At 41.8% G+C, this 19,731-nt stretch overlaps 1 protein-coding gene and 1 long non-coding RNA gene across 4 annotated transcripts in view, besides 1 other annotated feature; one reads left to right on the forward strand and one right to left on the reverse strand.

Moving 5' to 3' along the window:
- Positions 1-622: 622 nt before the first annotated feature.
- On the reverse strand, positions 623-5,787 carry GPR33 (G protein-coupled receptor 33). The gene is made up of 2 exons (NM_001197184.3): positions 5,645-5,787; positions 623-1,719 (listed from the first exon to the last, which is right to left on the reverse strand). The coding sequence occupies exon 2, from the start codon at positions 1,711-1,713 to the stop codon at positions 712-714; it is 1,002 nt and encodes a 333-aa protein (NP_001184113.2). The 5' UTR covers positions 1,714-1,719; positions 5,645-5,787; the 3' UTR covers positions 623-711.
- Positions 5,788-7,711: 1,924 nt separating this feature from the next.
- Positions 7,712-19,731, forward strand: part of LOC105370438 (uncharacterized) — a 68,133-nt gene continuing 56,113 nt past the window's right edge. For all 3 annotated transcript variants that reach the window (XR_943722.3, XR_943723.3, XR_943724.3), the window contains exon 1: positions 7,712-7,851. This is a non-coding gene — a long non-coding RNA (uncharacterized LOC105370438). The remainder of the gene's footprint in view (positions 7,852-19,731) is intronic.
- Positions 10,246-11,445: an enhancer, noted in NCBI's record as "MED14-independent group 3 enhancer chr14:31961704-31962903 (GRCh37/hg19 assembly coordinates)". NCBI's record gives its function as "activates an origin of replication core promoter dependent on BRD2, BRD4, P300/CBP and CDK7 cofactors, and independent of MED14, by STARR-seq in HCT116 cells {active_cell/tissue: HCT116}" and the evidence as "EXISTENCE:reporter gene assay evidence [ECO:0000049][PMID:35650434]".

Genomic DNA, 19,731 nt, shown 5'->3' on the forward strand with positions numbered 1-19,731 from the left:
TACTAAAAATATAATTAGCTGGGCATGGCTGGGTGTGGTGGCTCACGCCTGTAATCCCAGCAGTTTTGGAGGCCGAGGTGGGCAGATCACGAGGTCAGGAGATCGAGACCATCCTGGCTAACATGGTGAAACCTTGTCTCTACTTAAAATACAAAAAATTAGCCAGGCGTGGTGGCAGGTGCCTGTAGTCTCAGCTACTCAGGTGCCCGAGGCAGGAGAATGGCTTGAATCCGGAAGGTGGAGCTTGCAGTAAGCCGAGATCGCACCACTGCACTCTAGCCTGGGTGACAGAGCGAAACTCCTTCTCATAAAAAAAATAAAATAAAAAATAAAAAAATTAGCTGGGCATGGTGGTGTACACCTGTAGTCCCAGCTACTTGGGAGGCTGAGGCATAAGAATCACTTGAACCTGGGAGGTGGAGTTTGCAGTGAACCTAGATTGCACACTGAACTCCAGCCTGGACGACAGAGTGAGACTCTGCCTCAAAGAAAAGAAAAGAAAAGAAAAGAATCACATTTGCAGCATGATCTTGCAAATTGCTTGTTTTCTTGCAGCCCTTTTATTGCTCAGAAATCTAACTATAGTACAGCCTAGTTATCTCTCTAATATAGGGACTATAGCATACAAAAGCAGAAGGTATATCCTATTGGTATAATTGACCAAGTGCGTGTTTGCTTAAGAATCTAGAATTTAAATTTAGGCTTCTGAGTTTAGGTTTGTGTCCTTTCTACAGAAGAATCTTCACTAAATGTTGACTCAAACAGAGCAAGAATGGACTTCTTGAAGACCTTTTTGAAATTCTCCCCAACAAATAAGTAGAGTGTGGGAGAAAAGATAGTATTGAAAGAAGTGGTTAGCACTGTAAGTATCAAAGTCAACTCTAAAAGTAGTGACTGGTTCGTAGTGAGAAGTAAGCCCTGGTGTATATGGTAGGGCATCCAACACACAAAGAAAGAGATAATGGCAGTCATCATAACTTTGAAGGGCTTGCTGGATTTAAACAGGCTCCTCTCTTTCACCTTGCTGGCTACTCTTTCATAACAAAAGATGATGATGAAGAAAGGCAGAAGAAAGCCCAGCAAGAAGCGGCTGATGAAACAGGCCACATGAATCCACTGCCTTGATGCTTGCATCTCCTTGCTTTCCCAGTTAGTAGACACAGCATAGTTATTTTGGCAAGTCACCTTTCCTTTACGGTCATGATGTGTCTCTCTGAAAATCAAATAGGGGATGCTGAGGGCAGCGGCTGAAATCCAGACTCCCAGGACAATGCTGGAAGCCCAGCGCGGGGTTCGGTGCTGCTGGGACCACACTGGGTGAAGAGTGAGAAGGTAACGATCAAGACCGATGGCCGAAAGGAAGAAAACAGAGGTGAACATCCCCAGAGACAAAGTGCCATTGAAGACCTTGCACAAGGCAGTTCCAAAGTTCCAGTGATTGTCTTGAAGTTGGGAGGTGGCCATAAATGGCAGAATCATTGTTGAAATAAAATAAGAGAGAATGAGATGAAAAAATAAGAGAGTATTGACAGTCTGTTTCATCTTGAATCTTAGCACCCATAGATAGAGGCCATTGGTGATGGTACCAATTATAGATGAAATGTACAAAGAAAGGGCAATAATCATTTTTGATGCAGGAGCTAGAAACTGAGTGCTGTTTCTTACTAAAGTAGAGGCATTGATCAGGTAATCAGTAGAGTTGATCAGATCCATAATGACCTGTGGAGTGAGAAACAGTGAAAATAACAACAAGAAAAAGCAAAAGAAAAGGTTAAATGTAAAAATTTAAAGAGTAATTTTTTACATAGTGATACTTCTAGTCCAAATGATAATATTTTAACAGCAGTAAGCAAAATATTTCTGCAAATCAAATATTTTTCTAAGGTCTATACTTTTATGTTTTAATGAGGAATTAAGATCAGATGAATCTGAGCATCAAAAATAGAAATATATGGATGAAATGAAATAAATGTGAAAAGAAGTAAATGTTGGGACATTTTGACAATTGTTCAATAATTAGGTAGTTAAAAATCTATTTTTTTTTTCTGAGATAGGATCTCACTCTGTCACCCAGGCTGGAGTGCAGTGGAGTGATTACAGCTCACTCAGCCTCAACCTCCTGGGCTCAAGGACTCCTCCTGCCTCAGCCTCCCAAGGAGTTGGGACTACAGGTGCACACTACCAGGCCGGATAATTTTTTTGTTTGTTTGTTTTGTAGAGATGGGGTCTCACTATGTTGCCCAGCCTGGTCTTGAACTTTTGGACTCAAGTGATTTTCCCGCTTGGCCTCGCAAAGTGTTGGGATGACAGGTGTGAGGCACTGCGTGTGGCCAAAAATCTTCTACTTGGACGTTAACCAGAAGTCTGACACTTTTTGATGGGCAAAACTTCTTGAATAAGGCAATGTAGAATGAGTCTTATTTGACTTGTGAGGGCAAAAGTAGCTAATGAAATGAATTTGAATAACAAAAATAATAGCAATGTTGCAAATTAGTAGTTATGGGTTTTATAATTAGATTTCTCTCATGAGCTAATTATATATAGTAAATACTATTGTCTAGTATTCTAATACTCAGCACATAACAGTAATAACTAATATTCATATGGGAGCTGTAAGCCACTGCAAGATTGTGAAGTACCTTCAGAATCATCAACAAAAGAGGGAAGTGTATTGTAAGATGTAGTAATTTTTTTTTTTTTTGAGTCAGAGTCTTGCTTTGTCACGCAGGCTGGAGTGCAGTAGCATGATCTTGGCTTACTGCAAACTCTGCTTCCTGGGTTCAAGCTATTCTCCTGTCTCAGCCTCCTGAGTAGCTGGGATTACAGACACTTGCCACCACGCCCGGTGAATTTTTGTATTTTTGGTAGAGAGAGGGTTTTGCCATGTTGGCCAGGCTGGTCTCAAACTCCTGACTTCAGGTAATCCATCCACCTTGGCCTCCTAAAGTGCTGGGATTACAGGCGTGAGCCACTGCGCCTGGCCAAATGTAGTAATATTAATAGTTCATTCTTGAGGAGGGGACAAAAAGGAGAAAAGTCACCAAACTCATATTTATCCAATATTTGTGGTATGCCAGGAACTTTCTATAAAAATCATTTCTGGCCGGGCGCGGTGGCTCATGCCTGTAATTCCAGCACTTTGGGAGGCCGAGGTGGGCGGATCACAAGGTCAGGAGATCGAGACCATCCTGGCCAACATGGTGAAACCCCGTCTCTACCAAAAATACAAAAATTAGCTGGGTGTGGTGGTGTGTGCTTGTAGTCCCAGCTACTCGGGAGGCTGAGGCAGGACAATCGCTTGAACCTGGGAGGCAGAGGTTGCAGTGAGCCGAACCGAGATGGTGCCCCTGCATTCCAGCCTGGTGACAGAGCGAGACTCTGTCTCAAAAAAAAAAAAAAAAAATTCTGTTTTTCCTTGCAAAGCCTGTGAAGCAAATCTTTGAACAGAGGGGAAAGTGAGGCTTCGTAGGGTTACATGTCTTATCCATCAATATTTCCCACCATGCCTCCATTGTACCAGGTGGGAAACTCTACTACTGTTTTATATTACTTCTTTGAAACTCAGTAATTCATATGTAGTGTTTTTAATAATGCTCAGATGATTTAGATAATCAGAGTGTTTGATTATCTAAAATATCCAATTTCTTGGATAATGGATCCCATGGTATCAAAAATATAAACCTGAGAATATTTTGGAAAATAGCTGTTATAACAGAGTCATATCAGCAAATTGGTTTTAGATAAATTGGATAAAGCAATGGAAATTACTAATGATGCTTTTTTCCTCACTAAACAAAAACATTCTAAGAATATATACAGAGAAGTAAGATAATTGCTATTTATTTTATTTTTGTTTATTTTTTAGAGACAGGGTCTCTCTCTGTCACCCAGGCTGGAGTGCAGTGGCACGATCCTAGCTCACTGCAGCGTGGAACTCCTGGGCTTCATCAATCCTCCCGCCTCAGCCTCCAGATAGCTGGGATCACAGGTGTGCAGCACCACATTTGGCTAATTTTAAAATTCTTTGTAGAGAAAAGGGTCTTGCTGTGATACCCAGGCTGGTCTTGAACTCCTGGCCTAAAGTGATCCTCCCACCTCAGCCTCCCAAAGTGCTAGGATTAGAGGCATGAGCTGCCGTGCCCAGCCATAATTGCTATTCAAAAATCACAACTTCCTAAGTTAATTCTGCCTTCTAAGGGAGTTGCAAAATTTTTCTCTAAAGTAGAAAAATGATTCTTCATGAAAATACCTTAGTAGTCTTCTTTGGGAATAAAAAGTGGAGTCTGAAGCATATGAAATGGACAGGCAATGGCAAATAAAAGAATGAGAACTTGAGAGAGAGGTTTTGTGAAGGCCCTGGGACCTTAAGAAGAGGGTGGAAGACGAGGATGATTTTAAGACAGGCAGCACAGAAAAAAACTCAGCAGGATGTTAGGAGCCCTACAGAGGAGAAAGGGTCAATGAAGTATTCTGAGAAGCAGAAATGACACAGGGGATTTAAAAATAGGAATGTCTAATAATTATAATCTATTTGCTATGCTTTGATATGGTATAGTGTCCCTTTTCCCCATTAACCCTCAGCTGTCTTGTGTTGGTGGTGGTTCTGGGGAATCAAAGTCTCTGTGGTGTTTTTATCCATGGAGTATGTGTAGAGGTGTGTCTGTGATCAGTGTATGTGTATCTCAGTGTATTTGTGTGATCTCTGTGTATGTATGTGTCTGTGGTCTTTGTATGTTTTTCTGTGGAATGTGTGTATGTGTAGTGTTTGTGTGTTTGTGTTGTATGCGTGTGGTCTCTTTATGTGTGTGCATATGAGAAACTAGATACCCGAATTATGGGAAAGATTTTTTTTTAATTGTGCATCTGAGCTCTAGAAGGACATCTGAAAGTAATGTAGAACATGGGCAAAATCATAGTAAAACTTTTCTGATCAATGTTGGTAGTGATTCTGAATATCATATAAAGTTTCCTAGGAATTCTGATTTATTGCACATAACCAGGAGATTTCTTCATCCTTAAACACCTTTAAAATGATGTTAAAGTACTTGAGAATAAATAAATGGGGCAGATCTCAGACTCTGGCATCCCACAGACCTGGGTTTGTATCCTACCTCTACCACTTACCAGCTCTGCAAGTTCAGATAACTTGTTGAGACTTTTTCTCCTGCTAAGCCCCTCAGTTTTTTTTTTTTTTTTTTTTTTTTTCAGATGGAGTCTTGCTCTGTCCCCCAGGCTGGAGTGCAATGGCGTGATCCTGGCTCACTGCAACCTCCGCCTCCTGGGTTCAAGTGATTCTCCTGCCTCAGCCTCCTCAGTAGCTGGGACTACAGGCACCTGCCACCATGCCTGGTTAAATTTTGTATTTTTAGTAGAGATGGGGTTTCACCATATTGGCCAGGCTGGTCTTGAACTCCTGACCTTGTGATCTGCCCGCCTCAGCCTCCCAAAGTGCTGGGATTACAGGCATGAGCCACCGTGCCCAGCCACAGGCGGCTTTCAGGAAGACCCCACCTCCACTTGGGAACACTGAGCTGCTGGCGCAGGGGAAGGCCACAGGAGCATCGGGAAGCTAATGTGCAATAAGCCTAGAGGGTCAATTCGGATGATAGCTCTAGGATAAACCTACTAGTCCAGAGAATCTTACCTCAGACCTGTATCTTCATGCCAGATTGGTCTTGAGCAGGCCAAAGTGACTCTACACCATCAATTTCTCACTAGGAACAGAGTGAACAAAATCAGTGACACTTTGCCTTCATTTCATATGTCTTTCTTCTTGCTGATGCTACTCCCCAAGCTTGAACTTGCTATTATTTAAATACTCAGTGAGGTCTTTTCCTCTTTTTGGTTCCTTTTTTTCTGTGGAATTTACTGCTATAGAGGTATAGAGAAATGAGTACTTCTTCAAATTATTTCTCCATTTTGAGGGGCATTAAAAAAAATCTGTAAGTGACCAAGTGCAGTGGCTCACACCTGTAGTCCCAGTGCTTTCTGAGGCCGAGGCAGGAGGACAACTTGAAGCCAGGAGTTAGAGACCAAAATAAAAAAAAAAAATAGCCGGGCCTGGTGGTGCACACCTGGCACACCTGTAGCACTAGCTACTCAGGAGGAGAGGCTGAGGCAGGAGGATCACTTGAGCCCGGGAGTTCGAGGCTGCAGTGTGCTATGATCATGGTGGTGAATAGCCACCACACTCCAGCCTGGGCAACAGAGTGAGACCCTGCCTCTCAAAAGAGAGAGAGAGAGAGAGAATGAATTGCATAAGCTAAGTCATTTCATTTAAAAGGTTAATAAACTTGTTTCGGGTGTTAATTCCCTTCTCGTATTGGGTCATCCCGCCAGGCACCCACTCTGCCTCAACTCTAGGGTGTTTATTAGCAGATGGATGGATGGTGTTGGGTACATAAGGAGGTGGTAAATATCAGGCAGAGACCAAAATAAACTCTGGAAATGAGCTATCTAATCTTTCTGGACAGAAAATAGTTAGAAGGAAAAACTTAAATACTGAGTTTCACATTAAAATGGAATTTATGAGGACAGGCCAGAGATTTATATTATTCAGTTTGGGTTGATGAAGACTGACAGGCAGAACAATCTGCATTTGTATGATGGTTGTAGAACGGTTGGAAAAAAACAGAATTGGTTACTACATCCTAGAAGATGATCTCATTATAAGGAATCTTCCAACACAGGTAATGCATTTATGAACCATTACTGACTGAGTTCTACATTTCCTATGTTCTTCTCTCTAATCTATCTCTGAAATTTTTTTTGGATCCCCTTCTGTGCTGACCTCAGTGTCCTGATTTTTTTCCTGCCTGCTTTCCTCTTCATCTCTTCATTACCAGTGGAGAAAATACATCAAAACCACTGTGCAGCGTTGGTGGTCAAGAGTTTAGGAATCAAAACCATTACCCAGTCTTTGTTAGACTTAGAATTTTAAAACTTTAACTGCTAGATTGTAGCCTTATTAAAAATAGGCTTAAATTTCAGTTCTTAATTCATTTGTGGCTGTGACCTTCAACCTAAGAACTGATCTTTGCAGGTTAAGGATAAATTTTCAAACCTGCTACTGTGTTTTAAAAGGGATTTTAAAAGGAATTTTGACAGGCTTTCATACCCTTGGGGTTAATTCACAGATTTGGAAGCAATCTGAGATATTATTTGGTCCAAACCCACTAATTCTGAAGATTAGCAAACTGAGACTCAGAGAGGTTAAATGAATTACAAAAGGTTTTCACCAAGAAAAGCTAAGGGCTCCTTCTTATGCTATCTTCTCAATTAAAAAAAGGAATTTGGGCCAGGCTTTTCCTCTTCTCCCCTCACTCTCTGTTTCTCAATTCTATAATTTCTAAAATTCATAAATAACAAATATATTAGGGACTAGTTCTTAACTTTTCTCCTCAAATATGTACTAGGGCTAGTACAACCATTAGATAGCCTAAAATTTGATTATTATATATCTCTCCTCAGAAATACCCTTAATAGTGAGTATTTTCCTCCCATAGGTGATTAAACCAATGATATTAACAATGTTAGGAAATACACAGAGTGTATTTGAGGAAGTAATTCTCTTCTGTGGCTTTAGTAATGTGGCTTCTTTCAGTTCACTTTTCATATTTCAAATCAAGTCAGATGATTTCAAAAAAGAACTTATGGAAATGGAAACAGTTTTATGTTGTTTTGATATAACCACTGTTTGAAGCAGAAATGCAGAAGCAGATGGTACTGCTGAACCAAATGTGTGAAAGGCTAGTAACTCATAGATGCATATAATTTTTAGAGTTGGAAGAGACCAAGGAGTTAAATTCATCTAACTCCCATTCTATAAGTATTTCAGATGACTGCAGTTGTGTAAGTTATTTATGAATATGATTTGTCTGCTTATAAATGTTGTGCCTGGATGACTGTCCTTAGTATACTTGTTTATGCTTGCAAAAATATGTATGTTATTATTGCCTATTTTATTGTGTAAAGTGGCCTATAAAGTGTTCTGTTGTTTTTGTTACTTTGTTTTGTTGTTGATGCTGTTTTTAAGAGACAATGTCTCTCTCTATCATCCAGGCTGGAGTGTGGTGGAGTGATCACGACTGACTGCAGTCTTGACCTCCCAGGCTTAAGTGATCTTCCCACTTCAGCCTCCCCAAGTCACTGGGACTACAGGCGTATGCCACTGCAGTGGGCTATTTTTTTATTTTTTGTAGAGACGAGGTTTCACTATCTTGCCCAGGCTGATATTGAACTCCTGGGCTCAAGTGATTCTCCTGCCTTGGCCTCCCGAAATGCTGGGATTATAGGCATGAGCCACTTCACCTGGCCAATATGTTTCTCAAATAAATCTTTTAAAAATGTAAATGCCTTTAAAGAACTTAAAAAATTTTTTTTAGAATTTTTTTTTTCAGAATTTTGATCTTTTAGGATTTCAACATTTGGGATTGTGGCCCAAACCCCTATAGGTAAGGGTTTAGCACAGTACCTGGCACATGATATGTATTAAATATATGATAGCTAATGCCAGGTGGGGTGTCAGAGCCTTGCCACAGAGAGTGATCGGCTTGAAGGTGGTAAAAAGAATTTACCAACAAAAGTATAGGTTTGAAAAGGAAAGTTGTATTAGATGGAAAGAACACTGTGGCAGAGTGCAATGGGCGGGCGCTTCGGCAAGAGAGGACTGAGGGAGCTGCAGTGGATTTTCCTTAGGGGTATTTATGGACCTTCAAGCAGGAGCTTAAGGATAATTTGGACCATATTAGTCACACAGGTAATGATAAATGATTACATTTGTAGACATTTTGGTGCTGTGACATCAGTAAGAATTGCACAGTGAGTTTTGACACGCATGCAGTCTGAAGATCTATAGAAATTCTAGTTACTTATAAGTTTTTGGGAAAGAAGCCTGGTACCAGATGCCAGCTTTAGATAGGAAGGACATCTAATTACTTCTGAATTCCTCAGATAAGGAGTTTTGCCTCCAGATGGTCTGCTTGCTGACCACCAGGTGATCTTTGCTCTCCTCAGCTAACATTAATATTATGTAAGTTGTAGTAGAGAACACCTGCAAGTCCAGTGGGCTGGAGCAAATCTCTGAGCAATGCAATTCAAGAAACATTCATTGAGTATCTATTGCATGTAAGACAGTATTTGAGACTGGGGAAAATAAAGTAAGTACTTCAAAATAATTGCCCTTAATGTTTGTAGTTATTAAAGGTGATACCTGAACTCAATAGCTTAGGGATGTTGGGGAGGGCATATTCTGGGTCTTGGAAACAGTATGCTTAAAGGCAAAGCTGAAGAGAGCAATGCTTCATTTTTCTGGCCTGGTTCTGTACTTTTCAAGGTCACTTCTCACCACCCTCCATATTCCAGCATAGTGACAGTGACAATGCAGGTGTCACTCCAGTGCTTTCTAGCCTGGCTGAAGTCACACTCACCTGGAAATCTTTAAAAACATACAAGGTGTTCCTGAGATTTCATTCATGCAATGTTTACCAAGTATTTATTGTATTTGAAGCACTATTCTTGCCACTGGGGAGAGACAGTGATAAGAGCTGTATTCTTATGGAGCTTACATTCTAGTGGGGAGAAGTGAGCATTAAACCAGTAAATAGAGGCAGATACGGTGGCTCATGCCTGTAATCCCAGCACTTTGGGGGCTGAGGAGGGTGGATCGCCTGAGGTCAGGAGTTCAAGACCAGCCTGGCCAACATAATGAAACCCCATCTTTACTAAAAATACAAAAAAAAAAAAAAAATTAACTGGGTGTTGTAATCCCAGCTACTCGAGAGGCTGAGGCAGGAGAATCGTTTGAACCCGTGAGGCAGAGGTTGCCATGAGCCGAGATCACGCCGTTGCCCTCCAGCCTGGGCAACAAGAGTGAAATTCCATCTCAAAAACAAAAAAACAAAACAAAACAAAAACAGTAAATAAACACAGAAAGAAGAGAAACATCAGCAAGCACTACAGTGCTATGCAGAATATTAAAACATAGAAATGTGAGATCATCATGGCAGATGGGAGACAGGACTAGATTGCAGCTCTAACTCGGACGGACAGAGCAGTGTGTGGAGGCTCACATCATGAATTTTAGCTCCAGAACGACTGCAGGAACAAAGCAGGAATCCCAAGAGGACCCACAGACCCTCTGAAGGAAGCAGACTGCTCCTGCAGGACCCAGGAGACACCCCAAATACTGTGAGTGCCCAAACTGCAGAAGTGGGAAAGGGAGACCCTCCTCTCCAGAACACACAACCCCACTAGGGAAAATGAACGTCTAGTTTGTGGGAAGTTTCACACCTTACCAGGAGCTGAGGCAATTTAGAGAGGCAAGTGAATTATGCAGCAGAGGAACAGGAAAGGTCCTGGGAACTTGCTGGGTCCCCAAGCAGGCCTTTCCTGCCTGGCCCCACAGGGATCCTTTTGGGAGGGCAGCCAGAGGTGTGGGGGAGTGGGGTGGGGGATGCCACAGGGAGAAGGAAGTCTCCAGCTAAACTTTGTAACAATTTGACCTGGGCAAGAAGCCTCCTGGCCAGAACTCTGGCGAGGGTGTGAATCCGGCATCCAGACTCCACAGGTGAGGGAGGAACCAAACCCTTTTCTTTTGCAGCTGGGAGGCGGGTAGCCTGGGGCAAGTTCTCAAGCCCTGCTTGCTCACTGCCTGGAAACAGACTCGTGGCTGTTAGGGATGGCACAGTGGGAATGAGAATGGCCCTTTGGATTGTGTGGGACCTGGGTGAGGCCTGTGACTGCCAGCTTTATCCCACTTCCCTGACAACCTGCATGACTCAGCAGAGGCAGCCATAATCCTTCTAGGTACACAACTCCATTGACCTGGGAACCTCGCCCCCATCTCCACAGCAGCTGCAGCAAGACCCACCCAAGCACCCAAGGAGAGTCTGAGGTCAGACGTGCCTTGTCCTGCCCCCCCCCATGGGCCTTTCCTACCCTCCCTGGTAGCTGAAGACAAAGGGAATATACTCTTGGGAGTTCTAGGACCCCACTCACTGCTGGTTCCTCTTCATATTACCACAGCTGATGCTCTCTGGAAAGCACCACCTTCCAGCCGGAGACCAACCAGCACAAAAATAGAACATTGAATGCAAATGGCCTAAACTCTCCACTTAAAAGATACAGAACTACAGAATGGATAAGAAAGAACTCACCAACCATCTGCTGCCTTCAGGAGACTCACCTAACACATAAGGACGCACATAAACTTAAGTAAAGGGGTGGAAAAAGGCATTGCATGCAAATGGACACCAAAAGCAAGCAGGGCTAGCTATTCTTATGTCAGAAAAAACAAACTTTAAAGCAACATCAGTTAAAAGAGACAAAGAGGGACGTTATATAATGGTAAAAGGCCTTGTCCAACAGGAAAATATCACAATCCTAAACATATATGCACCTAACAATGGAGCTCCCAAATTTATAAAACAATTACTAATAGACTTAAGAAATGAGATAGGCAGCAATACAATAACAGTGGGGGACTTCAATACTCCACTAACAGCACTAGACAGGTTACCAAGACAGAAAGTTGACAAGGAAACATTGGATTTAAACTATACCTTGGAACAAATGGACTTAACAGCTATGTACAGAACATTTCATCCAACAACTGCAGAATACACATTCCATTCAACAGTGCATGGAACTTTCTCCAGGATAGGCCATATGATAGGCCATAAAACAAGACTCAATAAATTTAAGAAAATTGAAATTATAGCAAGCACTCTCTCAGACCACAGTGGAATAAAACTGAAAATCAACCAGAAATAAACTTCAAAACCATGCAAATACATGGAAATTAAATAACCGGCTCCTCAATGAGCATTGGGTCAAAAACGAAATCAAAATGGAAATTAAAAAGTTCTTTGAGGAGCCAAATCAAGATGGCCAAATACGAACAGCTCCCATCTGCAGCTCCTAGCAAGACCAACATAGAAGGCAGGTGACTTCTGTATTTCCAACTGAGGTACCCAGTTCATCTCATTCAGACTGATTAGGCAATGGGTGCAGCCCACAGAGGGCAAGCAAGAGCAGGTGGGGCATCGCCTCACCTGGGAAGTGCAAGAGGCTGGGGACCTCCCTCTCCTAGCCAAGGGAAGCCATGAGGGACTGTGCTGTTTGACCCAGATACTATGCTTCTCCCACACTTTTTGCAACCCCCAGACCAGGAGATTCCCTTGTATGCCTGCACCATCAGGGGCCTGGGTTTCAAGTACAAAACTAGGCAGCTGTTTTGGCAGACACCGAGCTAGCTGCAGGAAGTTTTTTTTCATACCCCAATGGCGCCTGGAACCCCAGCAAGACAGAACTGTTCACTCTTCTGGAAAGGGGGCTGAAGCCAGGGAGCCAAGTGGTCTCACTCAGCAGTTCACACTCCCACAGAGCCCAGTAAGCTAAGAACCACTGGCGTGATATGCTTGCTGCCAGCACAGCAGTCTGAAGTTGACCGGGGATGATGGAGCTTGGTGGGGGGAGGGACGTCCACCATCACTGAGGCTTGGGTAGGCAGTTTTCCCCTCACAGTGTTAAGGAAACTGCCAGAAGTTTGGACTGTGCAGAATTCACCACAGCGTGGCAAAGTGGCTGTGGCCAGACTGCCTCTCTAGGTTCCTTCTCCCTGGGGAGGGCATCTCTGAAAGAAAGGCAGCAGCCCCAGTCAGGGGCTTAAAGATAAAACTCCCACCTCCCTGGGACAGAAGGGGTGGCTGTGGTTGCAGCTTCAGCAGACTAAAACGTTCCTGCCTGCCAGCTCTGAAGAGAGCAGTGGATCTTCCAGCACAGTGCTCGAATTATGCTAAGGGACAGACTGCCTCCTCAAGTGGCTCCCTGCCTCCTGTGCCTCCTGACTGGGAAACACCTCCCAGCAGGAGTTGGCAAACACCTCATACAGGAGAGCTCTGGCTGGCATTAGGCAGGTGCCCCTCTGGGAAGAAGCTTCCAGAGGAAGGAGCAGGCAGCAGTCTTTGCTGTTCTGCAGCCTCCACTGGTGATACTCAGGCAAACAGGGTCTGGAGTGGACCTCCAGCAAACTCCAGCAGACCTGCAGAAGAGGGGCCTGACTGTTAGAAGGAAAACTAACAGACAGAAAGCAATAACATCAACATCAACAAAAAGGACACCCACACAAAAACACCATCCAAAGACCATCAGCATCAAAGATTAAAGGTAGATAAATCCACAAATATGAGGAAAACCCAGCACAAAAATGCTGAAAATTCCATAAACCAGAATGCTTCTTCTCCTCCAAATGATAGCAACTCCTCTCCAGCAAGGGCACAAAATGGGACGGAGAATGAGTTTGACAAATTGGCAGAAGTAGGCTTCAGAAGGTGGGTAATAACAAACTCCTCTGAGCTAAAAGAGCATGTTCTAACCCAATGCAAGGAAACTAAGAGCCTTGATAAAAGATTACAAGAACTGCTAACTAGAAAAGCCAGTTTTGGCAGACACCGAGCTCGCTGCAGGAAGTTTTTTTTCATACCCCAATGGCGCCTGGAACCCCAGCAAGACAGAACTGTTCACTCTTCTGGAAAGCAGGCTGAAGCCAGGGAGCCAAGTGGTCTCACTCACATAAATGAACTGATGGAACTGAGAAACACAGCAAGAGAAATTCGTGAAGCATACACAGGTATCAATAGCCGAACTGATCAAGCGGAAGAAAGGATATCAGAGATTGAAGATCAACTTAATGAAATAAAGCGTGAAAACAAGATTAGAGAAAAAAGAATGAAAAGGAATGAACAAAGCCTCCAGGTAATATGGGACTATGTGAAAAGACCAAACCTATGATTGATTAGTATACCTGAAAGTGACGGGGAGAATGGAACCAAGTTGGAAAACACTCTTCAGGATATTATCCAGGAGAACATCCCCAACCTAGCAAGACAGGCCAACATTCAAATAAAGGAAATGCAGAGAACACCACTGAGATACTCCTTGAGAAGAGCAACCCCAAGACACATAATCTTCAGATTCTCCAAGGTTGAAATGAAGGAAAAAATGCTAAGAGCAGCCAGAGAGAAAGGTCAGGTCACCTACAAAGGGAAGCCCATCAGACTAACAGCAGATCTCTCTGCAGAAACCCTACAAGCCAGAAGAGTGGGGGCCAATATTCAACATTCTTAAAGAAGAGAATTTTCAACCCAGAATTTCATATCCAGCCAAACTAAGCTTTATAAGCAAAGGAGAAATAAAATCCTTTACAGATAAGCAAATGCTGAGGGATTTTGTTACCACCAGGCCTGCCTTACAAGAGCTCCTGAAGGAAGCACTAACTATGGAAAGGAAAAACCAGTCCCAGCCACTGCAAAAACACACCAAAACATAAAGACCAATGACACTATGAAGAAACTGCATCAACTATTGTGCAAAATAACTAGCTAGCATCATGATGAAAGGATCAAATTCACATATAACAATATTAACCTTAAATGTAGATGGGAAAAATGCCCCAATTAAAAGACACAGACTGGCAAATTGGATAAAGAGTCAAGACCCATCAGTGTGCTGTATTCAGGAGACCCATCTCATGTGCAAAGACACAACATAGGCTCAAAATAAAGGGATGGAGGAATATTTACCAAGCAAATGGAAAAAAAAAAAAAAGCAGGGGTTGCAATCCTAGTCTCTGATAAAATAGACTTTAAACCAAAAAAGATCAAAAAAGACAAAGAAGGGCATTACATAATGATAAAAGGATCAATGCAACAAGAAGAGCTAACTATCCTAAATGTATATGCATGCAATACAGGAGCACCCAGATTCATAAAGCAAGCTCTTAGAGACCTACAAAGAGACTTCGACTCCCACACAATAATAGTGGGAAATTTTAACATCCCACTGTCAGTATTAGACAGATCAATGAGGCAGAAAATTAACAAGGATATGCAGCACTTGAACTCAGCTCTGGAGCAAGTGGACCTAATAGATGTCTACAGAATTCTCCACCCCAAAACAACAGAATATACATTATTCTCAGTGCCACATAGCACTTATTCTAAAATTGACCACATAATTAGAAGTAAAACACTCCTCAGCAAATCCAAATGAATGGAAATCATAACAAACAGTCTCTCAGACCACAGTGCAATCAAATTAGAACTCAGGATTAAGAAACTCACTCAAAACTCCACAACTACATGGAAACTGAACAACCTGCTCCTGAATGACTACTGGGTAAATAACAAAATTAAGGCAGAAATAAATAAATAATTTGAAACCAATGAGAACAAAGACACAATGTACCAGAATCTCTGGGACACAGCTACAGCAGTGTTAAGAGGGAAATTTATAGCACTAAATGCCCACATCAGAAAGCGGGAAAGATCTAAAATTGACACCCTCATATCACAATTAAGAGAACTAGAGAAGCAAGAGCAAACAAATTCAAAAGTTAGCAGAAGACAAGAAATAACTAAAATCAGAGCAGAACTGAAGGAAATAGAGACACAAAAAACCCTTAAAAAAATCAATGAATCCAGGAACTGGTTTTTGAAAAGGTTAACAAAATAGATAGACTGCTAGCCAGACTATTAAAGAAGAAAAGAGAGAAGAATCAAATACACACAATAAAAAATGATAAAGGGTATATCACCACTGATCTCACAGAAATAAAAACTACCATCAGAGAATACTATAAACACCTCTATGCAAATAAACTAGAAAATCTAAAAGAAATGGATAAATTCCTGGACACATACACCCTCCCAAGAATTAACAAGGAAGAAGTTGAATCCCTGAATAGACCAATAACAAGTTCTGAAATTGAGGCAGTAATTAATAGCCTACCAACCAAAAAAAAGCCCAGGACCAGATGGATTTACAGCTGAATTCTACCAGAGGTACAAAGAGGAGCTGGTACCATTCCTTCTGAAACCATTCCAAACAACAGAAAAAGACGGACTCCTCCCTAACTCATTTTTATGAGGCCAGATACTAAAACCTGGCAGAGACATAACAACAAAAAAAAATTTCAGGCCAATATCCCTGATGAACATTGACGCGAAAATCCTCAATACAGTACTGGCAAACCAAATCCAGCAGCACATCGAAAGCTTATTCATCACAATCAAGTTGGCTTCATCCCTGGGATGCAGGGCTGGTTCAACATATGCAAATCAATAAACATAATCAGTCACATAAACAGAACTAATGATAAAAACCACATGATTATTTCACTAGATGCAGAAAAGGCCATCAATAAAATTCAACACCCCTCCTTGCCAAAAATACTCAATAAACAAGGTATTGATGGAACGCATCTCAAAATAATAAGAGCTATATATGACAAACTCATAGCCAATATCATACTGAAAGGGCAAAATCTGGAAGCATTCCCTTTGAAAACTGGCCCAAGGCAAGGATGCCCTCTCTCACCACTCCTATTCAACATAGTATTGGAAGTTGTGGCCAGGGTAATTAGGCAAGAGAAAGAAATAAAGGGTATTCATACAGGAAGAGGGGAAGTCAAATTGTCTCTATTTGCAGATGACATGATTGTATATTTAGATAACCCCATCATCTCAGCCCAAAAACTCCTTAAGCAACTTCAGCAAAGTCTTAGGATACAAAATCAATGTGCAAAAACCACAAGCATTCCTAGACACCAATAATAGAGAGCCAAATCATGAGTGAACTCCCATTCACAATTGCTACAAAGAACATAAAATACCTAGGAATACAACTTACAAGGGACATAAAGGACCTCTTCAAGTAAAACTACAAACCACTGCTCAAGGAAATAAGAGAGGATACAAATGGAAAAACATTCCATGTTCATGGATAGGAAGAATCAATATAGTGAAAATGGCCCTACTGCCCAAAGTAATTTATAGATTCAATGCTATTCCCATCAAGCTACCATTGACTTTCTTCACAGAATTAGAAAAAACTACTTTAAATTTCATATGGAACCAAAAAAGAGCCCACATAGCCAAGACAATTCTAAGCAAAAAGAACAAAGCTGGAGATACTATGCTACCTGACTTCAAACTATACTACAAGGCTACTGTAACCAAAACAGCATGGTACTGGTACCAAAAGAGATATATAGACCAATGGAACAGGACCAAGACCTCAGAAATAACACCATGCATCTACAACCATCTGATCTTCGACAAACCTGACAAAAACAAGAAATGGGAAAAGGATTCCCTATTTAATAAATGGTGCTGGAAAAACTGGCTAGACATATGCAGAATGAAACTGTACCCCTTCCTTACACCTTATACAAAAATTAACTCACAATGGATTAAAGCCTTAAATGTAAAACCTAAAACCATAAAAACTCTAGAAGAAAACCTAGGCAATACCATTCAGGACATAGGCAAGGGCAAAGACTTCATGACTAAAACACCAAAAGCAATGTGGCAACAAAAGCCAAAATTGACAAATGGCATCTAATTAAACTAAAGAGCTTCTGCACAGCAAAAGAAACTATCATCAGAGTGAACAGCAACCTATGGAATGGGAGAGAAATTTTGCAATGTATCCATCTGACAAAGGTCTAACATCCAGAGTCTACAAGGAACTTAAACAAATTTACAAGAAAAAACAACCCCATCAAAAAATAGGCAAAGGATATGAACAGACACTTCTCAACAGAAGACATTTATGTGGCCAACAAACATATGAAAAAAAGCTCACATCACTGGTCATTAGAGAAACGCAAATCAAAACCACAATGGGATACCATTTCATGTCAGAATGGTGATCATTAAAAAGTCAGGAAACAACAGATGCTGGAGAGGATGTGGCGAAATAGGAACACTTTTACACTGTTGGTGGGAGTGTAAATTAGTTCAACCATTGTGGAAGACAGTGTGGTGATTCCTGAAGGATCTAGAACCAGAAATACCATTTGACCCAGCCATCCCATTACTGGGTATATACCCAAAGGATTATAAATCATTCTACTATAAAGACACATGCACACATATGTTTATTACAGCACTATTCACAATAGCAAAGACTTGGAACTAACCCAAATGTCCATCAATGATAGACTGGATAAAGAAAATGTGGCACATATATGCCATGGAATACTATAGAGCCATAAAAAAGGATGAGTTCATGTCCTTTGCAGGGACATGGAGGAAGCTGGGAACCATCATTCTCAGCAAACTAACACAGGAACAGAAAATCAAACACTGCATGTTCTGACTCATAAGTGGGAGATGAACAATGAGAATACATGGACACACGGAGGGGAACATCACATGCCGGGGCCTGTCGGTGGGTGGGGGAGTAGTGGAAGGATAGCATTAGGAGAAATACCTAATGTAGATGACGGGTTGATGGGTGCAGCAAACCACTATGGCACGTGTATACCTATGTAACAAACCTGCACATTCTGCACGTGTCCCAGAACTTAAAGTATTTAAAAAAAAAAAAAAGGAAATAGGAATTCAGCTTTGTTCAGGAGGCTCTTTCCTGGGATCTGCTCCCAGCAGGTGACCTTACTGGATATGATCCACCACATTGGGCTCCATATCCTCTCCATGTCTGGACAGGATTCCCAGAACTGCAGGCAGGATATACCTGGAGGAGAGGCAGAAGGTGAGGCTGGGAAGTTGGCCTAGATCTTGAAAGTACTTGGATTCAGGATCAGTCTCAGGAGATAGGGTTGGACTGTGGAGCACAAGAGGAGAATATCAGTTTTGTGCAGGAGCAAAAGAGTTAAGACTTTGGATAGATTTTCTTTTTTGCCAATTCAGACTCGAGGTAATCTGCTGAGAGTAAACAGACACAGGATGTTGGAGAGCAATGAAGATTTACAATTTCCTAGGAAAGTAATGAGATATTAAAAATGATTGAGTGGTATTAAGCCTCTGTTTGAGATTAGGGACCAAGTGGTCCCTATCCTGAGAAGGCGGAAAATACCTCATCAGGAAAATTTTAAATTCTGACCTGCTCATTCTGTTGCATTTGCTTCTAGCCTGTATGTAGGGGCAGAAGGAGATGGCAAAATATTCAGGGCAGATGGCTTCTAAGCTAATACTACCAAGGGAGGAGGCCAGCTGACTTGAGAGTGCCAGTCAGAGAGTAGTAAAAGTGGTGTTGCTGGGGGTTTAGGTGAAATATGGAGTGTGCAAAGCCATCATGAGCTTGCCAGATGGTGAGAAAATGAGAGCTTGAGAGACTGGAGGTCTTAGTGCAGGCAGAGTAGTAGTGTTTGGATAAACATAGAAAACTATGGTCAGGTGTGGGATGTTGGAATTTAAAAATTTTGAGGTTTAGCAGTTCTGAGTGATGGCAAATTATCTAGAATGTGGCAAAGAAACTTGGGCAGTAAAGCAGTCATTGGAATTGATATCAAGAAACTTGAATCTGAGGTTATTAGATAGTCTTAGTCTAAGAGTGGTGGAAAATCACTGAAAAGTTGTAAGTAAGAAGTGATACGGTCACAGCGATTGTTTAAAAAGATAGCCCAGTTTTTGAGGTTGAGGATGGATTAGTGAGAGGTGAGAGTGGAAGTGGGAAGACCAATTATGTTAGTTTGGGTTCTTCACAAGCAGACCCCAAGACAAGGATTCTCAGCAAGTAGCTTATTTGCTAAATAAATGATTCCAGGAAATCCAATAAGTGGTGGGGAAGAGAGAGGGAAAGGCAGGAGCAACAAAGGGTGAATTATTAAACAGTTTACAGCTGCAGGTAACTAAAGCTGAATCCCAGCAAGGAAGAGAAACACCGGGTGTAGAACACATACTGCTGGCTTACCTCACCTGCAGT

This window comes from Homo sapiens, chromosome 14 (genome assembly GCF_000001405.40).
Source record: "Homo sapiens chromosome 14, GRCh38.p14 Primary Assembly".
Lineage (NCBI taxonomy): Eukaryota > Metazoa > Chordata > Mammalia > Primates > Hominidae > Homo > Homo sapiens.